Source organism: Homo sapiens, chromosome 19 (assembly GCF_000001405.40).
Source record: "Homo sapiens chromosome 19, GRCh38.p14 Primary Assembly".
NCBI classification, from domain to species: domain Eukaryota; kingdom Metazoa; phylum Chordata; class Mammalia; order Primates; family Hominidae; genus Homo; species Homo sapiens.
Window position 1 is genome coordinate 53175581 of NC_000019.10, and position 21492 is coordinate 53197072.

The 21492-nt window shown below is 49.4% G+C and overlaps 1 protein-coding gene across 11 annotated transcripts in view, besides 3 other annotated features; it reads right to left on the reverse strand.

Annotated features, from left to right (window-relative positions):
- Nucleotides 1–17778, reverse strand: part of ZNF665 (zinc finger protein 665) — a 30935-nt gene extending 13157 nt beyond the window's left edge. For 2 of the 11 annotated variants that reach the window (XM_047439451.1, NM_001353459.2), the window contains exons 1-2: nt 17732–17778; nt 7304–7359 (exon numbers count right to left, since the gene is read on the reverse strand). Coding sequence is in view for 9 of the 11 variants with exons in the window: in NM_001353459.2 (NP_001340388.1) it covers nt 7304–7318 (15 nt within the window). In the remaining 2 variants the exon portion in view is untranslated. Of the gene's footprint in view, nt 1–4026; nt 4405–7303; nt 7364–14605; nt 14741–17660 lie in introns of all 11 variants that reach the window. The other 9 variants (XM_047439450.1, NM_024733.5, XM_047439449.1 and 6 more) reach the window with 7 other exon arrangements.
- Nucleotides 6618–7134: an enhancer, noted in NCBI's record as "H3K4me1 hESC enhancer chr19:53685451-53685967 (GRCh37/hg19 assembly coordinates)". NCBI's record gives its function as "activates a minimal SCP1, AML or CMV promoter by ChIP-STARR-seq in naive H9 embryonic stem cells {active_cell/tissue: H9 hESC(naive)}" and the evidence as "EXISTENCE:reporter gene assay evidence [ECO:0000049][PMID:30033119]".
- Nucleotides 17594–17743: an enhancer, noted in NCBI's record as "active region_15063". NCBI's record gives its function as "activates an Ori minimal core promoter by ATAC-STARR-seq in GM12878 lymphoblastoid cells {active_cell/tissue: GM12878}" and the evidence as "EXISTENCE:reporter gene assay evidence [ECO:0000049][PMID:35858748]".
- Nucleotides 21422–21491: a silencer, noted in NCBI's record as "silent region_11005". NCBI's record gives its function as "represses an Ori minimal core promoter by ATAC-STARR-seq in GM12878 lymphoblastoid cells {active_cell/tissue: GM12878}" and the evidence as "EXISTENCE:reporter gene assay evidence [ECO:0000049][PMID:35858748]".

A 21492-nucleotide genomic window follows, 5' to 3' on the forward strand; every position in this document is an offset into this window, starting at 1 on the left:
AAAACACATTTCACCAAGTGACTATGAGGAAAATTTGAATCTTCACATAAAACAAGAAGAGGAGAGAGCTGTAAGAATAGGTTCAATTCACGTAAGCAGACTGACACATCCAGGCTGTGATCACGGTACATACAGATTTGATCTTCCTCCCCTTTTCCTGAAAAGGGCTCACTTGAAATCTGTGAGGTGATAAGTATCTTTTTGTATGTCAGTGAGGCTAACTGGTGGCTGAAGGCTGCTAGATAGCTTCAGGGTGTGGGCTGGACACTGGAAAGACCAAGGCAAGATTACAGGGTTAGGCTGGGAGCCATTGCTCATGCCTGTAATCCCAGCACTTTGGGAGGCCAAGGCCAGTGGATCACTTGAGGTCAGGAGTTTGAGACAAGCCTGGCCAACACAGTGAAACCCTGTCTCTACTAAAAATACAAAAATTAGCCGGGCATGGTGGTGCGTACCTGCAATCCCAGCTACTCAGGAGGCTGAGGCAGCAGAATCACTTGAACCTGGGAGGCAGAGGTTGCAGTGAGCCGAGATCACAGCACCACACTGCAGCCTGGGTGACAGAGTGAGACTCTGTCTCAAAATAAATAAATAAGAATAAAAATAAATAAAAGATTACAGGGTTGGGACTTCCAGGCTCAATCTCCAACACTGCAAAAGGGAAGAAGGGCTGAAGGTTCAGTTGAACATCCATGGCCAATAATGTAAACAGTTATGCCTATGTAATGAACCTTCCACAAAAATGCAAAAAATTAAGGTTCTGAGGAGCATCTGGGACAGATGATAACATGGAGGCTCCTTGAGTGGTGCACCCACAGAGGGCATGGAAGCTCAGAGCCCCTTCTCCCTATCTCACCCAATAGATCGCTTCCACCTGCATTCTTTGTTATATCCTCAGCAATAAATGAATCAATATGAATCAAGTCTTCCCCTGAATTCTGTGAGCCACTCTAACAAATTAATTGATCCCAACGAAAAGGTGATGAGAATTTACAACTTAAGCCAGTTAGTGAGAAACCCAAGCCACAATCTGTGTTTGTGAATGGCAATGAGGTGGCTGCACCCTTGTGGGACTGAGCCCTACACCTGTGGGATGTGATGCCATATCCAGACAGTGTAAGAACTGAACTGAATGGGAGGACACCCAGGTCATATATCCACGGCAGAACTGCTTGATTGATGTGATGGAAAACCCAACACATCTGGGAGAACGGAAGCATTCTGTGTTGCAAGAGTACAGTAGAAGAAACTGAATCTGGCTGGGCATGGTGGCTCACGCCTGTAATCCCAGCACTTTGGGAGGCCAAGGCGGGTGGATCACCTGAGGTCAGGAGTTCGAGACGAGCCTGGCCAACATGGCAAAACCCCGTCTCTACTAAAAATACAAAAATAGCCAGGTGTGGTGGCAGGCACCTGTGATCCCAGTTACTTGGGAAGCTGAAGCCGGAGAATCATTTGAAGCCGGGAGGTGGAGGTTGTGGTGAGCTGAGATCACACCATTGCACTCCAGCCTGGGCAACAGAGCGAGATTCTATCTCAAACAAAAACAAAAACAAACAAACAAACAAAAAACTGAACCAGTTTTTCCCTATATTCTCACACACTAAAATTTATTTGAGCAAGTTATGTCTGTTTAATCCTGTTTCATTATTCTTTTCCCTAAGAGGTTATGATATCCTCTAAATTAGTGTGGATTTGTTTTGTGGACAATAAATAAATATACAGATACAAAATCAGCTGGGCTCAGTGGCTCATGCCTGTAATCCTAGCACTTTGGGAGGCCAAGGTGGGGTAATCACTTGAGGTCAGGAGTTCGAGACCAACCTGGCCAACACAGTGAAACGCTGTCTCTACTAAAAATACAAAAATTAGCCGGAAATTGCTTGAACCTGGGAGGCAGAGGTTGCAGTGAGCCAAGATTGTGCCACTGCACTCCAGCCTGGGCAACAGGGAGACAAACAAAACAAAACAAAACAAAACAAAACAAAACAAAAAAACCCAGCACAAGTTTATCTCTACCAGTGTTAGATAGATATTATGTCGGACACATCAAGCAATATTCAGCATCTAGATGACCTAGAGAATGAGTGGTGTCTTCAACGATGATAATATCCACAGTGGCTTTGAAGAAAAAACAAGTCAGAGCCTTAAAACTATGATGAGAGCAATAGCAATGACAGGGATTTAAGAACAATGCCCATATGCAAGGTAGTATTTTAAATCCTTTACGTGTACTAACACATACAACACTGTAGCCCATGAGAGAAAGATCTGCTCCCATTTTACTGTGGGGACAACTGTTTCACAGACACACTGAGAAACCTGTCTCAGGTCAAAGGACTAAAAATGACAGAGCAAGTACCTGTACCCAGGTGTCTAGGAATTAAAATTAAACCTAAGCAATCAGTTAAGCAACAGGCAAGCTACCTGAAAGAGCAGCTCGCAATGCCCTGAATAATCTTCCAAAGAGGGTAAGTAGGCGGTTTGGAATGCTAAAGCATTAAGGAAGGCTACATAGTCAAGAAGAGCCTTCAGAGTTTTCATTTTAGAATCTCAGTGTCTGAGATCAGTACAAAGGAGTCAATGTATCTGTCCAAGGTTCTGAAAGGGTGGTCATTTTGGAAGAATTCATTTATGTAACGACGTGTACCAATGTCTAATAGATTCCCAACATCCTTTTGTGCAACATCTATCAGCAGCTGCTCACGTTCTACTGTGAATGACTGACATGTAGATTGGTCTGAATAGTTTCTTGGTCATTAAACTGGTTAGAAAAGAACTTTCCCAGTCTTTTAGATGCTACACTGTGGCTGAAATCCTCTGAACTACTGTGAAAATGAGGTTTACAAAATAAAGAAATTGGCCAGGCATGGTGGCTCATGCCTGTAGTCCCAGCACTTTGGGAGGCCAAGGCAGGCAGATTGTTTGAACCCAGGAGTTTGAGACCAGCCTGGGCAACATAGCAAGACCTTGTTTCTACAAAAAAGTAAAAATTATTAAAAGTAAAAATAAATAAATACAAACAAATAAAGAAGTACAAGAAATGAGAGAATGTTGGAGAATGAAGGGTAAAATGATGTCGAGCAAAACTGGCCACAGAATGTGTTAATATATTCAAGTTCAAATAGTGTTTTATGAAGAAAGAGACTTTAAAATCTCAGGGGTAAGCAAATTTAAACTGAAAACAGAATAAAAAGTCCTAGAAAGATACAGTAAAAAGTAGTGTCTGTCTCTTTGCATAAAGTAGTATAATATAGTTTGCATAAAGTAGTATAATATAGTTTGCACGCATTTGGAAGACAACCAGCTGGCAGGGGAATTATCTCAAAGAACTACACAGGAGCCAAATGAGATTATCAAGGACAACAAACCACTTCCTTTATTACAAGGTCACACTTATAGAAAAAAGCACATGTAAAAACCTAATTTCAGCACTGAATTCAGGACTTTCTCACTGGAAATTTGGGTAGAATCAAAAGAGAAAACAAAGATAAAAGTGGCTATGAGTTTTGGCTGAGCACAGTGGCTCATGCCTGTAATCCCAGCACTTTGGGAGGCCGAGGCGGGTGGATCACGAGGTCAGGAGATCGAGACCATCCTGGCTAACACGGTGAAACCCCGTCTCTACTAAAAATACAAAAATAAATTAGCCAGGCGTGGTGGCGGACGCCTGTAGTCCCAGCTGGTCGGGAGGCTGAGGCAGGAGAATGGCATGAACCTGGGAGGCGGGGCTTGCAGTGAGCCGAGATCGCACCACTGCACTCCAGCCTGGGTGACACAGAGCGAGATTCCGTCTCAAAAAAAAAAAAAAAAAAAAAAGTGGCTATGAGTTTATGAGTTTTGTATAAATATGTAAATTTATTTCTTTTTTTTGTTTTTTTTTTTGAGATGGAGTTTTGCTTTGTCACCCAGGCTGGAGTGCAGTGGGTTCAGGGAGCTTCCAGAGGGCTGACATGTGGAGGTTCCTGGAGGACGGCATACCCAGGGAGGGCAGGGAAGCTCTGCGCCCCTTTCCCCATACCTCACCTTATGCATCTCTTCACTGGTATCTTCTGTAATAGTATTTATAATCAACCAGTAAAACTGAGTGTTTCTCTGACCTCTAAGAGTTGCTCCAGCAAATAAATCCAACCCAAAGAAGGGTTCATGGGAACTTCAACTTGAAGTTGGTCGGTCAGAAGTTTCAGAGGCCTGGACATGCAACTGGGAACTGAGCCATCAATCTGTGAGATCTGACACTATCTTCATGCAGACAGTGTTGGAACTGAACTGGAGGACAGCCAGTTGGTTGCTTGCTGTTTGTTGGTGGGGAGAAACCCCTCGCATTTGGCCACAGAAGTCTTCTGTGTGGATTGTGGTGTTGGTGTGAGAGCAGAGGAAAACATGGTTTTTGAGTTGTTTTTCCTAAACAGCACCAAAAGTAAATTAACATGAGGTCACCTAACTGAGAAAAACTGAAACAAGTTCAAGGCTAACAATATGGAATTTCACCAAAGGTCATTATATACACAAACGCATTTATGTCCATATATTACTATCCTATTAGTTCATTAATAGATAATAGAGAACAGGCTGGGTGTGGTGGCTCACACCTGTAATCTCAGCACTTTGGGAGGCCGAGTTAGATGGATCACCTGAGGTCAGGAGTTCGAGACCAGCCTGGCTAACATGGTAAAACCCCGTCTCTACTAAAAATACAAAAATTAGCCAGGTGTGATGGCAGACACCTGTAATCCCAGCTACTCGGGAGGCTGAGGCAGGAGAATTGCTTGAACCTAGGAAGCAGAGGTTGCAGTGAGCCGAGATTGCGCCCCTTCACTCCAGCCTGGGCAAAAGAGTGAAACTCCATCTCAAAAAAAAAAAAGACAGTGGAGAACAAATTTAAGGCCACAGAAAATATTTAAAATATGATTTCAAATGATAAAACACATACAATTTATTTAAATGATGGTATGTCTTTTATAAAACCATGGGTGTATGCATCTACATATTCATGTGTGCACATCACATATACCAGTTAAATTAAGTGAAATAAGGAGATGTGTCTCAATGATGTATTTTTTTTTATGACATCTTTAGTTGTCTTTTTTGCTCATGTGCTTTTCAGAAAGTCTGGGACAACTGAAATGCATGAATTGTACTTGATTTAGTTTACAAACATTTTTGTAAATTAAGCTGTAAAAACGCTAAAACAAAAATATGTAAGAACTTGTACTCCAATTGGTATTAAATACAAATATTAAAAGTACAGATACCATTTTTTTCCAGTTAAATTTAGATATTTAGGCATTAACAAAAGCCCAATGGAGGTTTTAGTTTATTTTACTCATGAAATCCTAAGATTAGGACATTTTTTAATATCATACATGAATAGATTTCAGAAGTACATATTGCAACAATACTTACTCAAAGAAATTATTGGATAATTAAAAATCAGTCCAAAAAGGAAATTTGAAAAACACCCAAAAGCTAATATTAAACAAGAAAATTTCACCAAACATCATAATCAAGCAGTAAATGCTGGATGCATTTGATCTAAATTAAAATGGAGAAAATGGGCTGGGCATGATGGCTCATGCCTGTAATCCTAACACCTTGGGAGGCCAAGGCGGGTGGATTGCTTGAGCTCAGGAATTCGAGACGATCCTTGGCAAAATAGTGAGACCCCCATCTTTACAAAAAATATAAAAATTAGCTGGGTGTGGTGGCATGCACGTGTAGTCCCAGCTACTTGAGAGGCTGAGATGGGAGGCTGGCTTGAGCCCAGGAGGTGGAGGTTGCAGTGAGCCGAGATTGCACCACTGCACTCCAGACTGGGCGACAGGGCCGGACCTTGTATCAGAAAAAAAAAAAAAGGAGAAAATGGGGGCTCACCAAGGCTCCAGCTAAAGCCCACTTCAGAGCATGCCTGAGCTGAGACCAAGAAAAAGGTAAAGTAGGAGCTGGATCTGTTAAAACTAACAGATGACATACTCACAACCCAGGAGAAGAATGCATTGAAGTTTAAGAACTAATAACAATACTGTGAAAACAATCTTCATTCTTTCTTTAGCAGCTCTCATTAGACACAAACACACAATGCATCTCACGAGTACATTAGGAATTATACAATGCTACCTATTAAAATACGTTTCCAGACCTATTTAAAGAAATTATAAGACTGTACTAAAGTGATGATGTCAATAAAATAGAGGACTAGAACTCCCAAACACTACCTCCACCACGGAGACACAAATGTAGTAGCAATATATGAACCAATTGCTTTGTGAGAAACCCAGTGGTCATTTAAGAGGTTGGAACTCTTAACAGAAGTCTAGTAGGAAAATACAGGACATCTGCTCCCAGAGGCCTTACCCTGGCATGATGCAGTGTCACTGCAAGAAAAACACCAATTTCCCATTTCTCCTGGGAGAGGAAAAGTATGAAAACATTCATCCAATATTCTGTCTTTTCAGGGCGCTGCCTGAGGGATAAGTTTCTCTCTTGGTTGAATATAAGTAATGAAGGCCGGGCGCGGTAGTTCACGCCTGTAATCCCAGCACTTTGGGAGGCCGAGGCGGGTGGATCGCTTGAGCTCACGAATTGGAGACCGGCCTGGGCAACACGGTGAAACACCATCTCTATTAAAAATACAAAAAAAAATAGCCGGGCATGGTGATGCATGCCTGTAGTCCCAGCTACGCAGGGGGCCATGGCCAGAGAATCACTTGAGCCCAGGAGGCGGAGGTTGCAGTGAGCTGAGATCGCGTCACTGCACTCCAGCCTAGGCGACAGAGCGAGACTCTGTCTCAACAAAAACAACAAAAAAAAGGAGTTTGGAGTCAGAAACACAGTGACTCACTTGTTCGGCATCAAATGCAAATATAAATGAGGTGACAAAGCTTTCCCCACAGTCGTCTCATTTTACAGCATTTCGTGGGTGCTTGTACACACTAACATCTGACTTCATAACCAGCTTCTCTTATCACAGTTTACACAGAGCTGTCAATATATTCAAATATGTCCTGAACAATCCCTGTTGCCCAACAGCACTGACACCACGGGACCCTCACCCCGTCTCCATCCATGTCGGGGTGTGAGCCCTTCCCAGGTCCATGCCCCGTGCAGCCTCTTCCCAAGTTCATGTCACTGGGTCACCAGAGATGGAATCTAAGTGAGATGAGAGGGACTGAGGGAAGGCACGAGTGAGTGCGAGCAAACCTGTCAGGCAGGATGCTTCAGACTCAGAGAAGATTCCCAACTCCAAGGTCCAAGGTTTCTGAAAGGAAGGAGACAGAACAATCCACCGAGAATATCATCTCACCTGAGGAAGAGCCATCCCTGACTCCTTTGCCTTCCTCTTCCTCTTCTTCCAGGGTTCTACCTTGGGTAACATGAAAGAGACTTTAGAATTCAATCCTGAATGTCAAAAATACGCTGTTTGTTGGTTAGAATCAACACACCCCCTCCCTGGGCCATAACCTTATACACAGGGAAGACCTTATACACAGGGAAGATGGTCCTCTGCTGCCCACTGCACCAGAAAAGATGCAGGGATGAGAAACTCCTACAGGAAAAACAAGTGAGTTTCTGACCTCTTTCTTTAGAACCCACTCCCCTCCTGGAGAAGCCCCCACACAGGCTGCAGCAGTGGGGAGCTGGGCTGGAATGAGCTTCTGTTCGGGGCACAGACCCAGCCCTGACCAAACCCCATGCTGAGCACAGTCCCTCTCCCCTCTGTGAGTCATAGGCTGATCTCAGCCTTCAGAAATGATCAGCAGTGCCCTGGTGCTCAATAGTAGATACAGAATAACAGAACAGAACAAATCTTAAATGTCACTGAAGCTGGGCTGCAACTTATCTGAATGAAAATCTCTGCTAAGGGGGCGTAAGAGATGTATTTGCAAAATGCCTCAGCATTCTTGAGCTCCACTGAGAGGGGCCGAGCCCAGCACAGCCCCCCCACCTTCTGGCTGTACTTTCCCTGGGGGCCTTGTCATCAGGATCCAGACAGTGGAAGGTGAAGCAGCACAGAGAAACACGCAGAACAGCCAATACAGACAAGAGGTGAGGGTGGGGGTGGGGATGGAATGCTGAAGCGGGGGTCAGGGAGAGGGTCACGGAAGTCCCCACTGAGGAAGTGATATCAGAACAAAGACCTGGGTTAGGAAGGGTGTTTGCACCTGCACCTGAGGGGCCAGAGTCCTAGGCAGAGGGACCACCCATGTGAAGGCCCTGAGGCAGGAGCAACTTGGGGACCCCGGAAAAGGAAAGGGGCCTGAGTGGCTGGAGCAGAGGGAGCAAGGAGGCACAGGCAGGAGACGAGGTCAGAGAGGTCCTGGGGGAGCAGGTCAGGGAGGGCTGAGGTCTTCAAACAGTTTTTCTCCCACACCTCCAAAGAATGTTTAAGCTGGGCGCAGTGGCTCTTGCCTGTAATCTCAGCACTTTGGGAGGCAGAGGTGGGTGGACTGCTTGAGCTCAGGAGTTTGAGACCAGCCTGGGCAACATGGCAAAACCCCATCTGTAAAAAAGGTACAAAATTTAGTCAGGTGTGTTGGTACGTGCCTGTAGTCCCAGCTACTTGGGAGGCTGAGGTAGGAGGATGGCTTGAGGACAGGAGGTGGAGGTTGCAGTGAGCCAAGATCACACCACTGCAGTCCAGCATGGGCGACAGAGCGAGACCCTGTCTCAAAAAAAAAGACTAGAAGAAATAATAAATAATTTTTAAAACACTGGATTTCTTTAATCCACTTATCTTATTTTTAACTCGCAAATAATGTCATATCTTCTCTATTTTAAATACATGCTGACATGTTCAGCTAAGCCCCAAGAAGTACAGGGTGGCCCCCATCCACCCTGGGTCTGCTGGGGAACACCTTTGGGGGAATTCAGGATGACCCTTTTGGACATACGAAGGTGGAGATGCCTGTTCCACCTCCCAGCAGAGTGTTGAGGAGACAACTGGACAAAGGATTCCAGTGTTCAAGGGAGAAGTCTGCAGGGAACAGGGAGCCGTGTAGGTGGGTTTAAAGCTGTGAGATGAGATGATAAGGAAGGGCATGGGTTGTAGGGTCCGGCCCCACAGGATTGGTGGGTTTTCTCCTCGTGTGTGGAGACGAGAGAGCTTAGAAATAAAGACACAAGACAAAGAGATAAAAGAAAAGGCAGCTGGGCCCGGGGGACCACTACCACCAAGACGTGGAGACCGGTAGTGGCCCCGAATGCCAGGCCGCGCTGATATTTATTGGATACAAGACAAAGGGGCAGGATAAGGAGTGTGAGCCATCTCCAATGATAGGTAAGGTCACGTGGGTCACGTGTCCACTGGACAGAGGGCCCTTCCCTGCCTGGCAGCCGAGGCAGAGAGAGAGAGGAGAAAGAGAGAAACAGCTTACACTATTATTTCTGCTTATCAGAGACTTTTTGTACTTTCCCTAATTTGCTACTGCTATCTAAAGGCAGAGCCAGGTGTACAGGATGGAACATGAAGGCGGACTAGGAGCGTGACCACCGAAGCACAGCATCACAGGGAGACGGTTAGGCCTCCGGATAACTGCGGGCGAGCCTGACTGATGTCAGGCCCTCCACAAGAGGTGGAGGAGCAGAGTCTTCTCTAAACTCCCCCGGGGAAAGGGAGACTCCCTTCCCCAGTCTGCTAAGTAGCGGGTGTTGTTCCTTGCCACTTACGCTACCGCTAGACCACGGTCCGCTTGGCAACGGACGTCTTCCCAGACGCTGGCGTCACCGCTAGACCAAGGAGCCCTCCGGTGGCCCTGTCCGGGCATGACAGAGGGTTCGCACTCTTGTCTTCTGGTCACTTCTCACTGTGTCCCCTCAGCTCCTATCTCTGTATGGCCTGGCTTTTCCTAGGCTATGATTACAGAGGGAGGATTATTATAATATTGGGATAAAGGGTAACTGCTACAAACAAATGATTAATGATATTCATATATAATCATAACTAAGATCTATATCTGGTATAACTATTCTTGTTTTATATTTTATTATACTGAAACAGCTCGTGTCCTTGGTCTCTTGCCTCAGCACCTGGGTGGCTTGCCACCCACATTGGGTGTGGACAGGAACCAAGAAGCTCAGGGAGTAAGCCGTGCATAGTCCACATTTAGGGAACAGAAAAATCAAGAGACACCAGAAGAGGAAAGCGTGACGTGATCAGCGAGGTATCAAAAACTTGAAAACAAACAGTTTAAAAAGGTTAATGGTATGTCCTTAAAGCCAGGAAAACAGAAGAGAAAGTGAGAAAAGAAAAAAAAGGAACACAAAGAAGTTTTTGTGTACTATTCTCTTAAATAGAGCATAGAAGAGGGGAACTTACTACAGAAGGAAAAGTAGTTAAGGGTTTTTTTTTTTTTTTTTTTTTTTTTTTTAATTAATTTATTTTTTTTTTATTGATCATTCTTGGGTGTTTCTCGCAGAGGGGGATTTGGCAGGGTCATAGGACAATAGTGGAGGGAAGGTCAGCAGATAAACAAGTGAACAAAGGTCTCTGGTTTTCCTAGGCAGAGGTCCCTGCGGCCTTCCGCAGTGTTTGTGTCCCTGGGTACTTGAGATTAGGGAGTGGTGATGACTCTTAAGGAGCATGCTGCCTTCAAGCATCTGTTTAACAAAGCACATCTTGCACCGCCCTTAATCCATTTAACCCTGAGTGGACACAGCACATGTTTCAGAGAGCACAGGGTTGGGGATAAGGTCACAGATCAACAGGATCCCAAGGCAGAAGAATTTTTCTTAGTACAGAACAAAATGAAAAGTCTCCCATGTCTACTTCTATCCACAGAGACCCGGCAACCATCCGATTTCTCAATTTTTTCCCCACCCTTCCCGCCTTTCTATTCCACAAAACCGCCATTGTCATCATGGCCCATCCCCAATGAGCCGCTGGGCACACCTCCCAGACGGGGTCGTGGCCGGGCAGAGGGGCTCCTCACTTCCCAGTAGGGGCGGCCGGGCAGAAGCGCCCCTCACCTCCCGGATGGGGCGGCTGGCCGGGCGGGGGGCTGACCCCCCCACCACCCTCCCGGACGGGGCGGCTGGCCAGGCAGAGGGGCTCCTCACTTCCCAGTAGGGACGGCCGGGCAGAGGCGCCCCTCACCTCCTGGATAGGGCGGCTGGCTGGGCGGGGGGGCTGTCCCCCCCACCTCCCTCCCGGACGGGGCGGCTGGCCGGGCAGAGGGGTCCTCACTTCCCAGTAGGGGCGGCCGGGCAGAGGCGCCCCTCACCTCCCGGACGGGGCGACTGGCCAGGCGGGGGGCTGATCCCCCCACCTCCCTCCCGGACGGGGCGGCTGGCCAGGCGGGGGGCTGACCCCCCCCACCTCCCTCCCGGACAGGGCGGCTGGCCGACCCCCCCCCCCCCGCCTCCCTCCCGGACGGGGCGGCTGGCCGGGCAGAGGGGCTCCTCACTTTCCAGTAGGGGCGGCCGGGCAGAGGCGCCCCTCACCTCCCGGACGGGGCGACTGGCCAGGCGGGGGGCTGATCCCCCCACCTCCCTCCCGGACGGGGCGGCTGGCCAGGCGGGGGGCTGACCCCCCCCACCTCCCTCCCGGACGGGGCGGCTGGCCGGGCAGGGGGCTGACCCCCCCTCCCCCCTCCCGGACGGGGCGGCTGGCCAGGCGGGGGGCTGACCCCCCCCACCTCCCTCCCGGGCGGGGCGGCTGGCCGGGCAGAGGGGCTCCTCACTTCCCAGTAGGGGCGGCCGGGCAGAGGCGCCCCTCACCTCCCGGATGGGGCGGCTGGCCAGGCGGGGGGCTGATCCCCCCAACTCCCTCCCAGACGGGGCGGCTGGCCGGGCGGGGGGCTGACCCCCCACCTCCCTCCCGGACTGGGCGGCTGGCCGGGCGGGGGGCTGACCCCCCCACCTCCCTCCTGGACGGGGCGTCTGGCCGGGCAGAGGGGCTCCTCACTTCCCAGTAGGGGCGGCCGGGCAGAGGAGCCCCTCACCTCCCGGACGGGGCGGCTGGCCGGGCGGGGGGCTGACCCCCCCACCTCCCTCCCGGACGGGGCGGCTGGCCGACCCCCCCCCCCGCCTCCCTCCCGGATGGGGCGGCTGGCCAGGCAGAGGGGCTCCTCACTTCCCAGTAGGGGCGGCCGGGCAGAGGAGCCCCTCACCTCCCGGACGGGGCGGCTGGCCGGGCGGGGGGCTGACCCCCCCCACCTCCCTCCCGGACGGGGTGGCTGCTGGGCGGAGACGCTCCTCACTTCCCAGACGGGGTGGTTGCCGGACGGAGGGGCTCCTCACTTCTCAGACGGGGCGGTTGCCAGGCAGAGGGTTTCCTCACTTCTCAGACGGAGCGGCCGGGCAGAGACGCTCCCCACCTCCCAGACAGGGCTGCGGCCCAGCAGAGGCGCTCCTCACATCCCAGACAGGGCGGCGGGGCAGAGGTGCTCCCCACATCTCAGACGATGGGCGGCCGGGCAGAGACGCTCCTCACTTCCTAGATGGGATGGCGGCGGGGAAGAGGCGCTCCTCGCTTCCCAGATGGGATGGCGGCCAGGCAGAGACGCTCCTCACTTTCCAGACTGGGCAGCCAGGCAGAGGGGCTCCTCACATCCCAGACGATGGGTGGCCAAGCAGAGACGCTCCTCACTTCCCAGACGGGGTGGGGGCCGGGCAGAGGCTGCAATCTCGGCTCTCCGGGAGGCCAAGGCAGGCGGCTGGGAGGTGGTTGCAGCGAGCCGAGATCACGCCACTGCACTCCAGCCTGGGCACCATTGAGCACTGAGTGAACGAGACTCCATCTGCAATCCCGGCACCTCGGGAGGCCGAGGCTGGCGGATCACTCGCGGCTAGGAGCTGGAGACCAGCCCGGCCAACACAGCGAAACCCCGTCTCCACCAAAAAAAAAAACGAAAACCAGTCAGGCGTGGCGGTGCGCGCCTGCAATCGCAGGCACTCGGCAGGCTGAGGCAGGAGAATCAGGCAGGGAGGTTGCAGTGAGCCGAGATGGCAGCAGTACCGTCCAGCCTTGGCTCGGCATCAGAGGGAGACCGTGGAGGGAGAGGGAGAGGGAGAGGGAGAGGGAGGGGGAGGGAGAGGGAGAGGGAGAGGGAGAGGGAGAGGGAGAGGGCCCCTTTGTTTCTTATAGGAGATGCTGGGTAATCCAGATTAAATTTTTGACCGGGTTTTTGTTTTTTTTGAGATGGAGTCTAGCTGTGTCACCCAGGCTGGAGTGCAGTGGTGTGATCTCAGCTCACTGCAAGCTCTGCCTCCTGGGTTCAAGCGATTCTCCTGCCTCAGCCTCCCAAGTAACTGGGATTAAAAGTGCACATCACCACGGCCAGCTAATTTTTGTATTTTTAGTAGAGAAGACGTTTCATCATGTTGGCCAGGCTGGTCTCGAACTCCTCACCTCAGGTGATCTGCTTGCCTCAGCCTCCCAAAGTGCTGGGATTGCAGGCGTGAGCCACCATGCCCAGCCTTATTTTTTGTTTTAAAGTTGAAAGAGTAGATGAGAAAGAAAGGCTTTATTTTCTGTGTGTGTGTGTGTGTGTGTGTGTGTGTGTGTGTGAATAGACAAGACCACTAATCTGGATATGCTCATCAAAATAATTCCCTTGAAGTAAAAGTTGACACAGTGGAGGAGGGAGCCACACCGTCCTGAGACTGTGGTGCAAAACTGAAGAGCCAGCTGTAGGGACCAGCCCCACAGGGTCAGTGGGTCTCTCCCCGTGTGCAGCGACGAGAGAGTGTAGAAATAACGACACAAGACAAAGAGATAAAAGAAAAGGCAGCTGCGCCCGGGGGACCACTACCACCAATGCACGGAGACCGGTAGTGGCCCCGAATGTCTGGCTGCGCTGTTATTTATTGGATACAAGGCAGAAGGGGCAGGGTAAAGAGTGTGAGTCACCTCCAATGATAGGTAAGGTCACGTGGGTCATGTGTCCACTGGACAGGGGGCCCTTCCCTGCCTGGCAGCCGAGGCAGAGAGGGAGAGGAGACAGAGAGAAAGACAGCTTACGCCATTATTTCTGCATATCAGGGACTATTAGTACTTTCCCTAATTTACTACTGCTATCTAGAAGGCAGAGCCAGGTGTACAGGATGGAACATGAAGGCGGACTAGGAGCGTGACCACCGAAGCACAGCATCACAGGGAGACGGTTAGGCCTCCGGATAACTGCGGGCGAGCCTGACTGATGTCAGGCCCTCCACAAGAGGTGGAGGAGTAGAGTCTTCTCTAAACTCCCCCGGGGAAAGGGAGACTCCCTTCCCCAGTCTGCTAAGTAGCGGGTGTTTTCATTTGACACTTACGCTACCCCTAGACCACGGTCCGCCTGGCAACGGGCATCTTCCCAGACGCTGGCGTCACCACTAGACCAAGGAGCCCTCCGGTGGCCCTGTCCGGGCATAACAGAAGGCTCGCACTCTTGTCTTCTGGTCACACCTCACTATGTCCCCTCAGCTCCTATCTCTGTATGGCCTGGTTTTTCCTAGGCTATGATTATAGAGCGAGGATTATTATAATATTGGAATAAAAAGTAATTGCTACAAACTAATGATTAATGATATTCATATATAATCATATCTAAGATCTATATCTGGTATAACTATTCTTGTTTTATATTTTATTATACTGGAACAGCTCGTGTTCTCTGTCTCTTGCCTTGGCACCTGGGTGGCATGCCGCCCACAGCCAGCAACAGCCCGGAGCAGGGACAGACCATTCCCAGTACCTCCTGAGTTGAGATTGCAGGCCTTAAGACAGGTGGGTGGGCCCGTTGGAGAGCTCTTCCCTTTACTGTTTGAGACAGGAAAAAATTAAACTGTTCATACTATTGTCACACTCAACCCAGAATACTTCACTTGTAGTCACCAAAATGTGTGCAGTTTTTCCCACAATGACCAGTTCTGCAGTGCACTCCCAGTGGTGGGTCCTACAATTTCACTCCACTCTGACACTGTCAGTTCTCCCAGGTGAAGATCTCAGTGTGCTACATGCTACTAGTAGCTGTTGGCTACACTCTCACCAGATAAATACCGTGATTCTCTTAACCCCTTCCTTGGATTCAATTAACTTGCTAAAACCATTCATCTGTATGCTTCGTAGTATCCTTTATAACAATTAGGTAGGCCGGGTGCGGTAGCTCATGCCTGTAATCCCGGCACTTTGGGAGGCCAAGGTGGGTGGATTACCTGAGATCAGGAGTTCAAGACCAGCCTGGCCAACATGGTGAACCCCCTTCTCTACTAAAAACACAAAAATTATCTGGGTGTGGTGGCGGACGCCTGTAATCCCAGCTACTTGGGAGGCTGAGGCAGGAGAATTGCTTGAGCCCAGGAAGCGGAGGTTGCAGTGAGCCAAGATCGTGCCATTGCACTCCAGCCTGGGTGACAGAGCAAGACTCCGTCTCAAAAACAGACCGGCAAACAAAAAACAATTGGGTAAACCAAGGAAAATGTTTCCCTGAGTTCTATGAGCTGCTCTGGCAAATTAATAGCACCTCAGGAAGGGATGAGGAGAATCCCAAATTTATACTCAATGGATCCGAAGCTCCGAATCTGGGACTTGGGGCTGGTATCTGAAGAGGGAACCCTCAACTAGTGGGATCTAATGCTAACTCTGGGTAGACAGTGTCCGAATTGAATTAAATTATTGGACAGTCAGGTAGTGTTTGTTCAAGAACTGCGTGTTGGTGAGGAGAAATCCCCACCCCACACGTTTTGGTGATGAGAGGCGATGCATTCTTTGTTGAGCGTTCATTACTTGATTATGAGAGTGGGAAAAACACTTTGGTTTTTCCTCCTCACTCATACACTTGCCTACACATTACCCCATCCTAGGAAAAGGAAAGAGGGTGACCCATAACTGAATGAGTCAAGTCACTGCTCTCTTAGAACAGAGATTGCAAATAGAAGCTAACCTCTGATGCCAGGAATTATAAAATGCACATGTCTTATAGACAAAACTTTTGTGATTCTCACCAGCATCTCCATAACAGAAACAAAATATATACATATAAAATTTGTTAGATTATTAGGGGCTGGGCACAGTGGCTCATGCCTGTAATCCCAGCATTTTGGGACGCTGAGGTGGGTAGATCACCTGAGGTCAGGAGTTCGAGACCAGCCTGGTCAACATAGTGAAACCCCGTCTCTACTAAAAATACAAAAGTTAGCCAGGTGTGGTGGTGCATGCCTGTAATCCCAGCTACTCGGGAGGCTGAGGCAAGAGAATCGCTTGAACCCAGGAGGCGGAGTTACAGTGAGTCGAGATCGTGCCATTGCACGCCAGTCTGGGAAATAGAGTGAGATTCTGTCTTAAGAAAAAAAAAATTTGTTAGATTATGGATACAGAAATCAATATATCACGATGTAATTATCCATATCCAATGAAACCACCATGCATCTGGGCCATAGTCCCCCTCTTTCTTCCTTCCTGTGTGTTTCCCTCCCTCATTCTGTACATCTCTCTCATTCTCTTCTTCTCTCTCCTTGTTTCTTTTCTGTGTTTCAGCCTGGGTCTCTGCTCCTCATTTTGAGCCCCTCTCTTCTCCTGCTGTTTCTCCTTCCCTCTATCCTTCTCTTCCACTTGTTCTGTTCCATTCTTGCAACTTGTTTCACCTCTTATTCCTCTTTCACCCGTCTTTTGGTTGTCCCCAATCTCCATCTATTTCTGCCTCTTTCTTCCCTTATCTCTGCTCTCCCTGTTAAATCCCCTCTTCCCTGTTTCACTTCCTTGTCCCCACTCTTTGGCACCCCCAGATCCCAGGTCTCCCCCTGCTGTGGTTCTCCCTCTGCTCTCCTTGTCACCAGCTGCCCCTTCTTGCTGTCCCAGCACCACGCTGCTCTGTCTATCCTGGCTCCAAATACCCCCTCCTCTCCCTAACTCTCCGTCTGAGGAGCTGCCCCTCTCCCTACCTTGCTGTCCTTCATCTCTCTAGACAGCGAGCTTTTCTCTACATTTCTCCAGTTGTTTCTCCATCCTGTTACTTTCTCAGCGACTTCTTTCACCCTTACTGTCTCTTTGTAAATCCTGACCCATCCTCTACTTTGCCATGTTTACTGGTTTCCCTCATTCTTTCCTCTGTCTCCGTTTTTCTACTTTTCTCTCAGCCCCCCTCTCTGTCTCCTGATCCCCTTGGCCCACACATTCACAGGGAGGGTTTGGAGTAAGACACCTGGATCCTGGAGGAGCACATTTTCCAGCGGGTGGAGCTGGGCAGGCAAGAACACCGGGTATCACAGGACAAGGCCCGGGCACCTCCCCAACGCGGGCTCAGGGGAAACGGTGACTGCGAAGGGGAGGCCTAGGGAGCAGCAGGGCCCGGCACGAGGAGGAGGGAGGTGGGGGGCGACGGCGCCTTAGGAGAGGGGTGGGGTATGCAGGATCCCAGGACCAGGCAGAGGCGCGGCCTCCCCGGGACTGGGGCTGCGGCGCTAACGCTCCAGTAGCTGACTAGGGCGAGGTTAGGGGACGGTAAAATCCTGCACCCACTTCGCAGATGAGGACTTCACAGGGCGCAGGTCAGTAAAGGGTTTTAAGCAGGAAACGGCGCAGGAAAGGAGGTGTCTGCATGGTCTGAAGGCCGAAAGACCGCGGGCAGGACCAGCCTGTGTGATTTTAACCCAAAGCGATGCGACCCCCAGAGTCTCGCGGCAAAGTCTGAATTTACATGGAATGGAGGGAGCCGTGCGGGGACTTTAAGGGCTATACGAACCCCCGGACATCGGGTACGGAGGAGCAGGGGACTCCGAAACGCAGGTTTAATCTAGATAGAGGGAAACTCACGCGGCGACTAACAGCCTTCACTCCAAGAGATCTGCTTCCGGGTTTGCAAGAAACTGCCCGCGCAGTAGGCAAAGGGGCGGGTTGCGGTGGGGAAAGGCCAGGCGTTGGGAGGGACTGAGAGCATAGGGTGGGCGGGGCCGGGGCGGGGCCTGAACCCTGGAGGCGGAGGTTGCAATGAGCCGATATCGCGCCATTGCACTCCAGCCTGGGTGACAGAGTGAGACTTCGTCTCTCCCAAAAAAAAAAAAAAACAAAACTTAGGCTATCTAAAAGTTTAACCAATGGCCAGTAATATAAGCAATCATGCATATGTAATGAAGGCGCCATAACAACCCAAAAGGAGAGGATTCAGCGGAGCTTCTGGATAGGTGAACACTGGGAGGCTCCTGCAGCGTGGTGCACCCAGGGAGGGCACCAAGGCTCAACGCCCCTTCTCCCATGCCTCACCTCACTGATCCCTTCCATCTGGCTGTTCTTCTGTCAACTTTGTAATATCCTTTATAATACGTAAATCTATGTAAAGTGTTTCCCTGTATTTTGTGAGCCACTCTAGCAAATTCGTTGAACCTGAGGAGGGGGTCAAGGGACTCCTGGATTTATATCTGATCTGTAAGCACAAGTCACAACCTCTGCTTGAGACTGGCATTGAAATGTGTGCACTATTGTGGGACTGAGCCCTCAACGTGTGGGATCTGATGCCATGTCCCGGCAAAATGGAACGGAATGAGAGAACACGCACCTGGTGTCTGTGGCAGGATTGCTTGCTTGGTGTGTGTGGGAAAACCCAGTACCTCTGGGCTAACTGTAGCATTCTGTGTTGTGAGAGAACAGTAGAAGAAACTGAATCAGTGTTTCCTATATTCTTAAATACGAATATGTGAGGTTTGTTGTTGTTTTTTTTTTTTTTTTTTTTTTTTTAGACAAGAGTCTTGCTCTTGTCGCCCAGGCTGGAATGCAATGGCATGATCTCGGCTCACTGAGCCACCGCCCCAGCGTGAAGGCATTTTTGAGCAAGTTATGTCTCCCTAATTCTGTTTTATTGTACTTTTCCCTAAGTAGTTATAATAGCCTCTAAATCTGTGTGGAGTTTTCAGTTTTGTGGACAATACAATAAATAGACAAATAAAAACCCAAACACAAGCTGATCTCTATAGAAGTGTTAGATATTATTTTCAACACACTAAGTGATACTCCGTATCTAGATAAGCTAAAGCACGAATGATGTCTTCTGAGGTGACAAGGTCCACAGTGGCTTTACAGAAACACTGGCCAGAAGTAAAAACTGTGATGATAATGGCAATAGCAATGACTGACTTTTCTGAACACTATGTGCAAGGCATTATTCGGAATACTTTACCTGTATTAACTCAAATAACAACATAATAGCCCATGAGAAAAAGATCTTTTCCTATCTTACTAGGAAACAACTGTGTCGGCCGGGCGCTGTGGCTCACGCCTGTAATCCCAGCACTTTGGGAGGCCGAGCTGGGCGGATCACGAGGTCAGGACCGGATCACGAGCCGGGCGGATCACGATGGTCACCAGGAGACCATCCTGGCTAACACGGTGAAACCCCGTCTCTAATGATAATACAAAAAAATTAGCCGGGCGTGGTGGCGGGCGCCTGTAGTCCCAGCTACTCTACTCGGGAGGCTGAGGCAGGAGAATGGCGTGAACCCGGGAGGCGGAGCTTGCAGTGAGCCGAGATGGCGCCCCTGCACTCCAGCCTGGGCGAGAGCAAGACTCCGTCTCAAAAAAAAGAAAAAGAAAGAAACTGTCACAGATACGCTAAGAAACTGGCCTAAGGTCCAAGAGCTAGAAATGACAGAGCAAGCCCCGAACCCAGGCATCTAAGAATTACAGTTAGGCTGAGAGCAGTGGCTCACACCTGTAATCCCAGCACTTTGAGAGCCTGAGGCAGGAGGGGTGCTTGAGCCCAGGAGTTCAAGACCAGCCTGGGCAATATAGTGAAACCCCATCTCAACAAAATAAAGACAAAACAAAAACAAAAAACCCCTCAACAATTACAATTAAACCTAAAGAATCAGTTAAGTAACAGAAGTACCATCAAAAGTGACAGGATGCCAGGTCAGGGAAACCATTGAGAACAAAGGCAAGCAACATAAACGAGAGTCTGCAGTAACGCAGGCAGACACTAGGTGGAGAACCAGACCACAGCTTACCATGAAAACACAGGGACTGCAGAATTGCAGACTGTCAACAGGAGCTCTCCTGAAGAAAAACTGGCAAACCTTCTCAGGTAACTACAAGCAAAAGCCCAGAGACGACACATTCCCAGAAAAGGCTTCAGAGGTTTCCAGAATCTCTAGTCAGGCTGAATAGAGAAGGTCCTCCCTGAAGGAAGCCAGAAATAAAAAAGTAGGACTGGTTGATTAGTGAAATGCTGAGGTGCCAAGATAACAAGACATTCAAGGAGAAAAGGAAACATGATCCACACAAAGGAACAAATGAAACCACCACAAACTGACACTAAAGAAATGAAGATGTGTGAATTATCAGACAAAGAATTGAAAATAAGAGTCACAAGATGGTCAATGAATTAAGAGGAGAGCACACATAGACAACCACAGGAAATCAGGAAAACAAGATATGAGCAAAATGAGACTATCAATAGAGAGACAGAAGCTATAAAGGAAAAACAGAGAAATTTTAGAGCTGAAAAATGTAATCAGAAACGCAGAACACAGAGCCTTGGTGCTCAATGCTGCACACAGATTACAACGCCCTGGGCCACCGTAGTTATTATTGAGGGTAGATCCCAACCTGACCATGGGAATAGGAATCTTGGGCAAAAGAAAGTTGAAATGGTTAAACTTATACGTTAATACGTTAAAATACGTTAAAAGGTATTTTTGCCAGCGAATGGGACAGAAGTTGAAATGGTTCACGTTGAAATGGTTATTACTGCCAGCAGGTAGGACAGAAGAGCTGCTAGTGAGACTGAAGCAACTCTGGGTGGGGATCTGGCATCTCTGGGGGTGTCGGTTTGGGGTAGATTGAATCCAGGAAAGTTTCTGCAATTTGAATTAATTTAAGCAACTTAACTAAAAAGCCCTGAAAATGTCTGTGAAGGGTATGCAAACTAGAATGTGAAATGCAAAACTCTGCCTGGGCAGAATGTGTAAGTAATTTCAAGTCACCTCTCAACAGAACTTAATGCAATCCCCTCCACATTCTACACCCATTCACCATGGAGGGAGAGAGTCAGCCCTGTGCACAGTTGCAGAGATTTTCATATGGTAAATACCTGGGGTGTGGAGCGAGGAGGGCTAATACCGGTGATATTAACTCTTGCTTTAGAAAAAGCAGTAACTTTTTAAAAATAGTTGAGCAACTTAAGTTTGCAACTTAGGAAAACATCTTACTTTCCAACAGAGATGGCCCACATAACTCTAAGGGTTTACCTTAAAATTGAGACATTAACTTAAAATAAGCAGAAAGCAAAACTGCTCCGCAGGACACGAAATAGACTTGTGTTCCCAAACCCAGAAAATAGGGACGCTCTGGGTACCAGGTGGCTGGAAACGCAGGCTCCCACCCGCCTTCCTTAGGTCCCTCCCGGCCCCGCCCCCTGCCTGTCCAGGCCCCGCCCCACCCTTCGCGTTTTCTCCCCAGCCCACTCCCTGTGCCGGTCACGCCCCGCCTAGGCCCCGCCCCTAGGCCACCTCAGTCCCCTCCGGCCCCGCCCCCTGCCGGTCTCTCCCTGGCCAGGCCCCGCCCCTTCCCCGCCCCCAGACCGC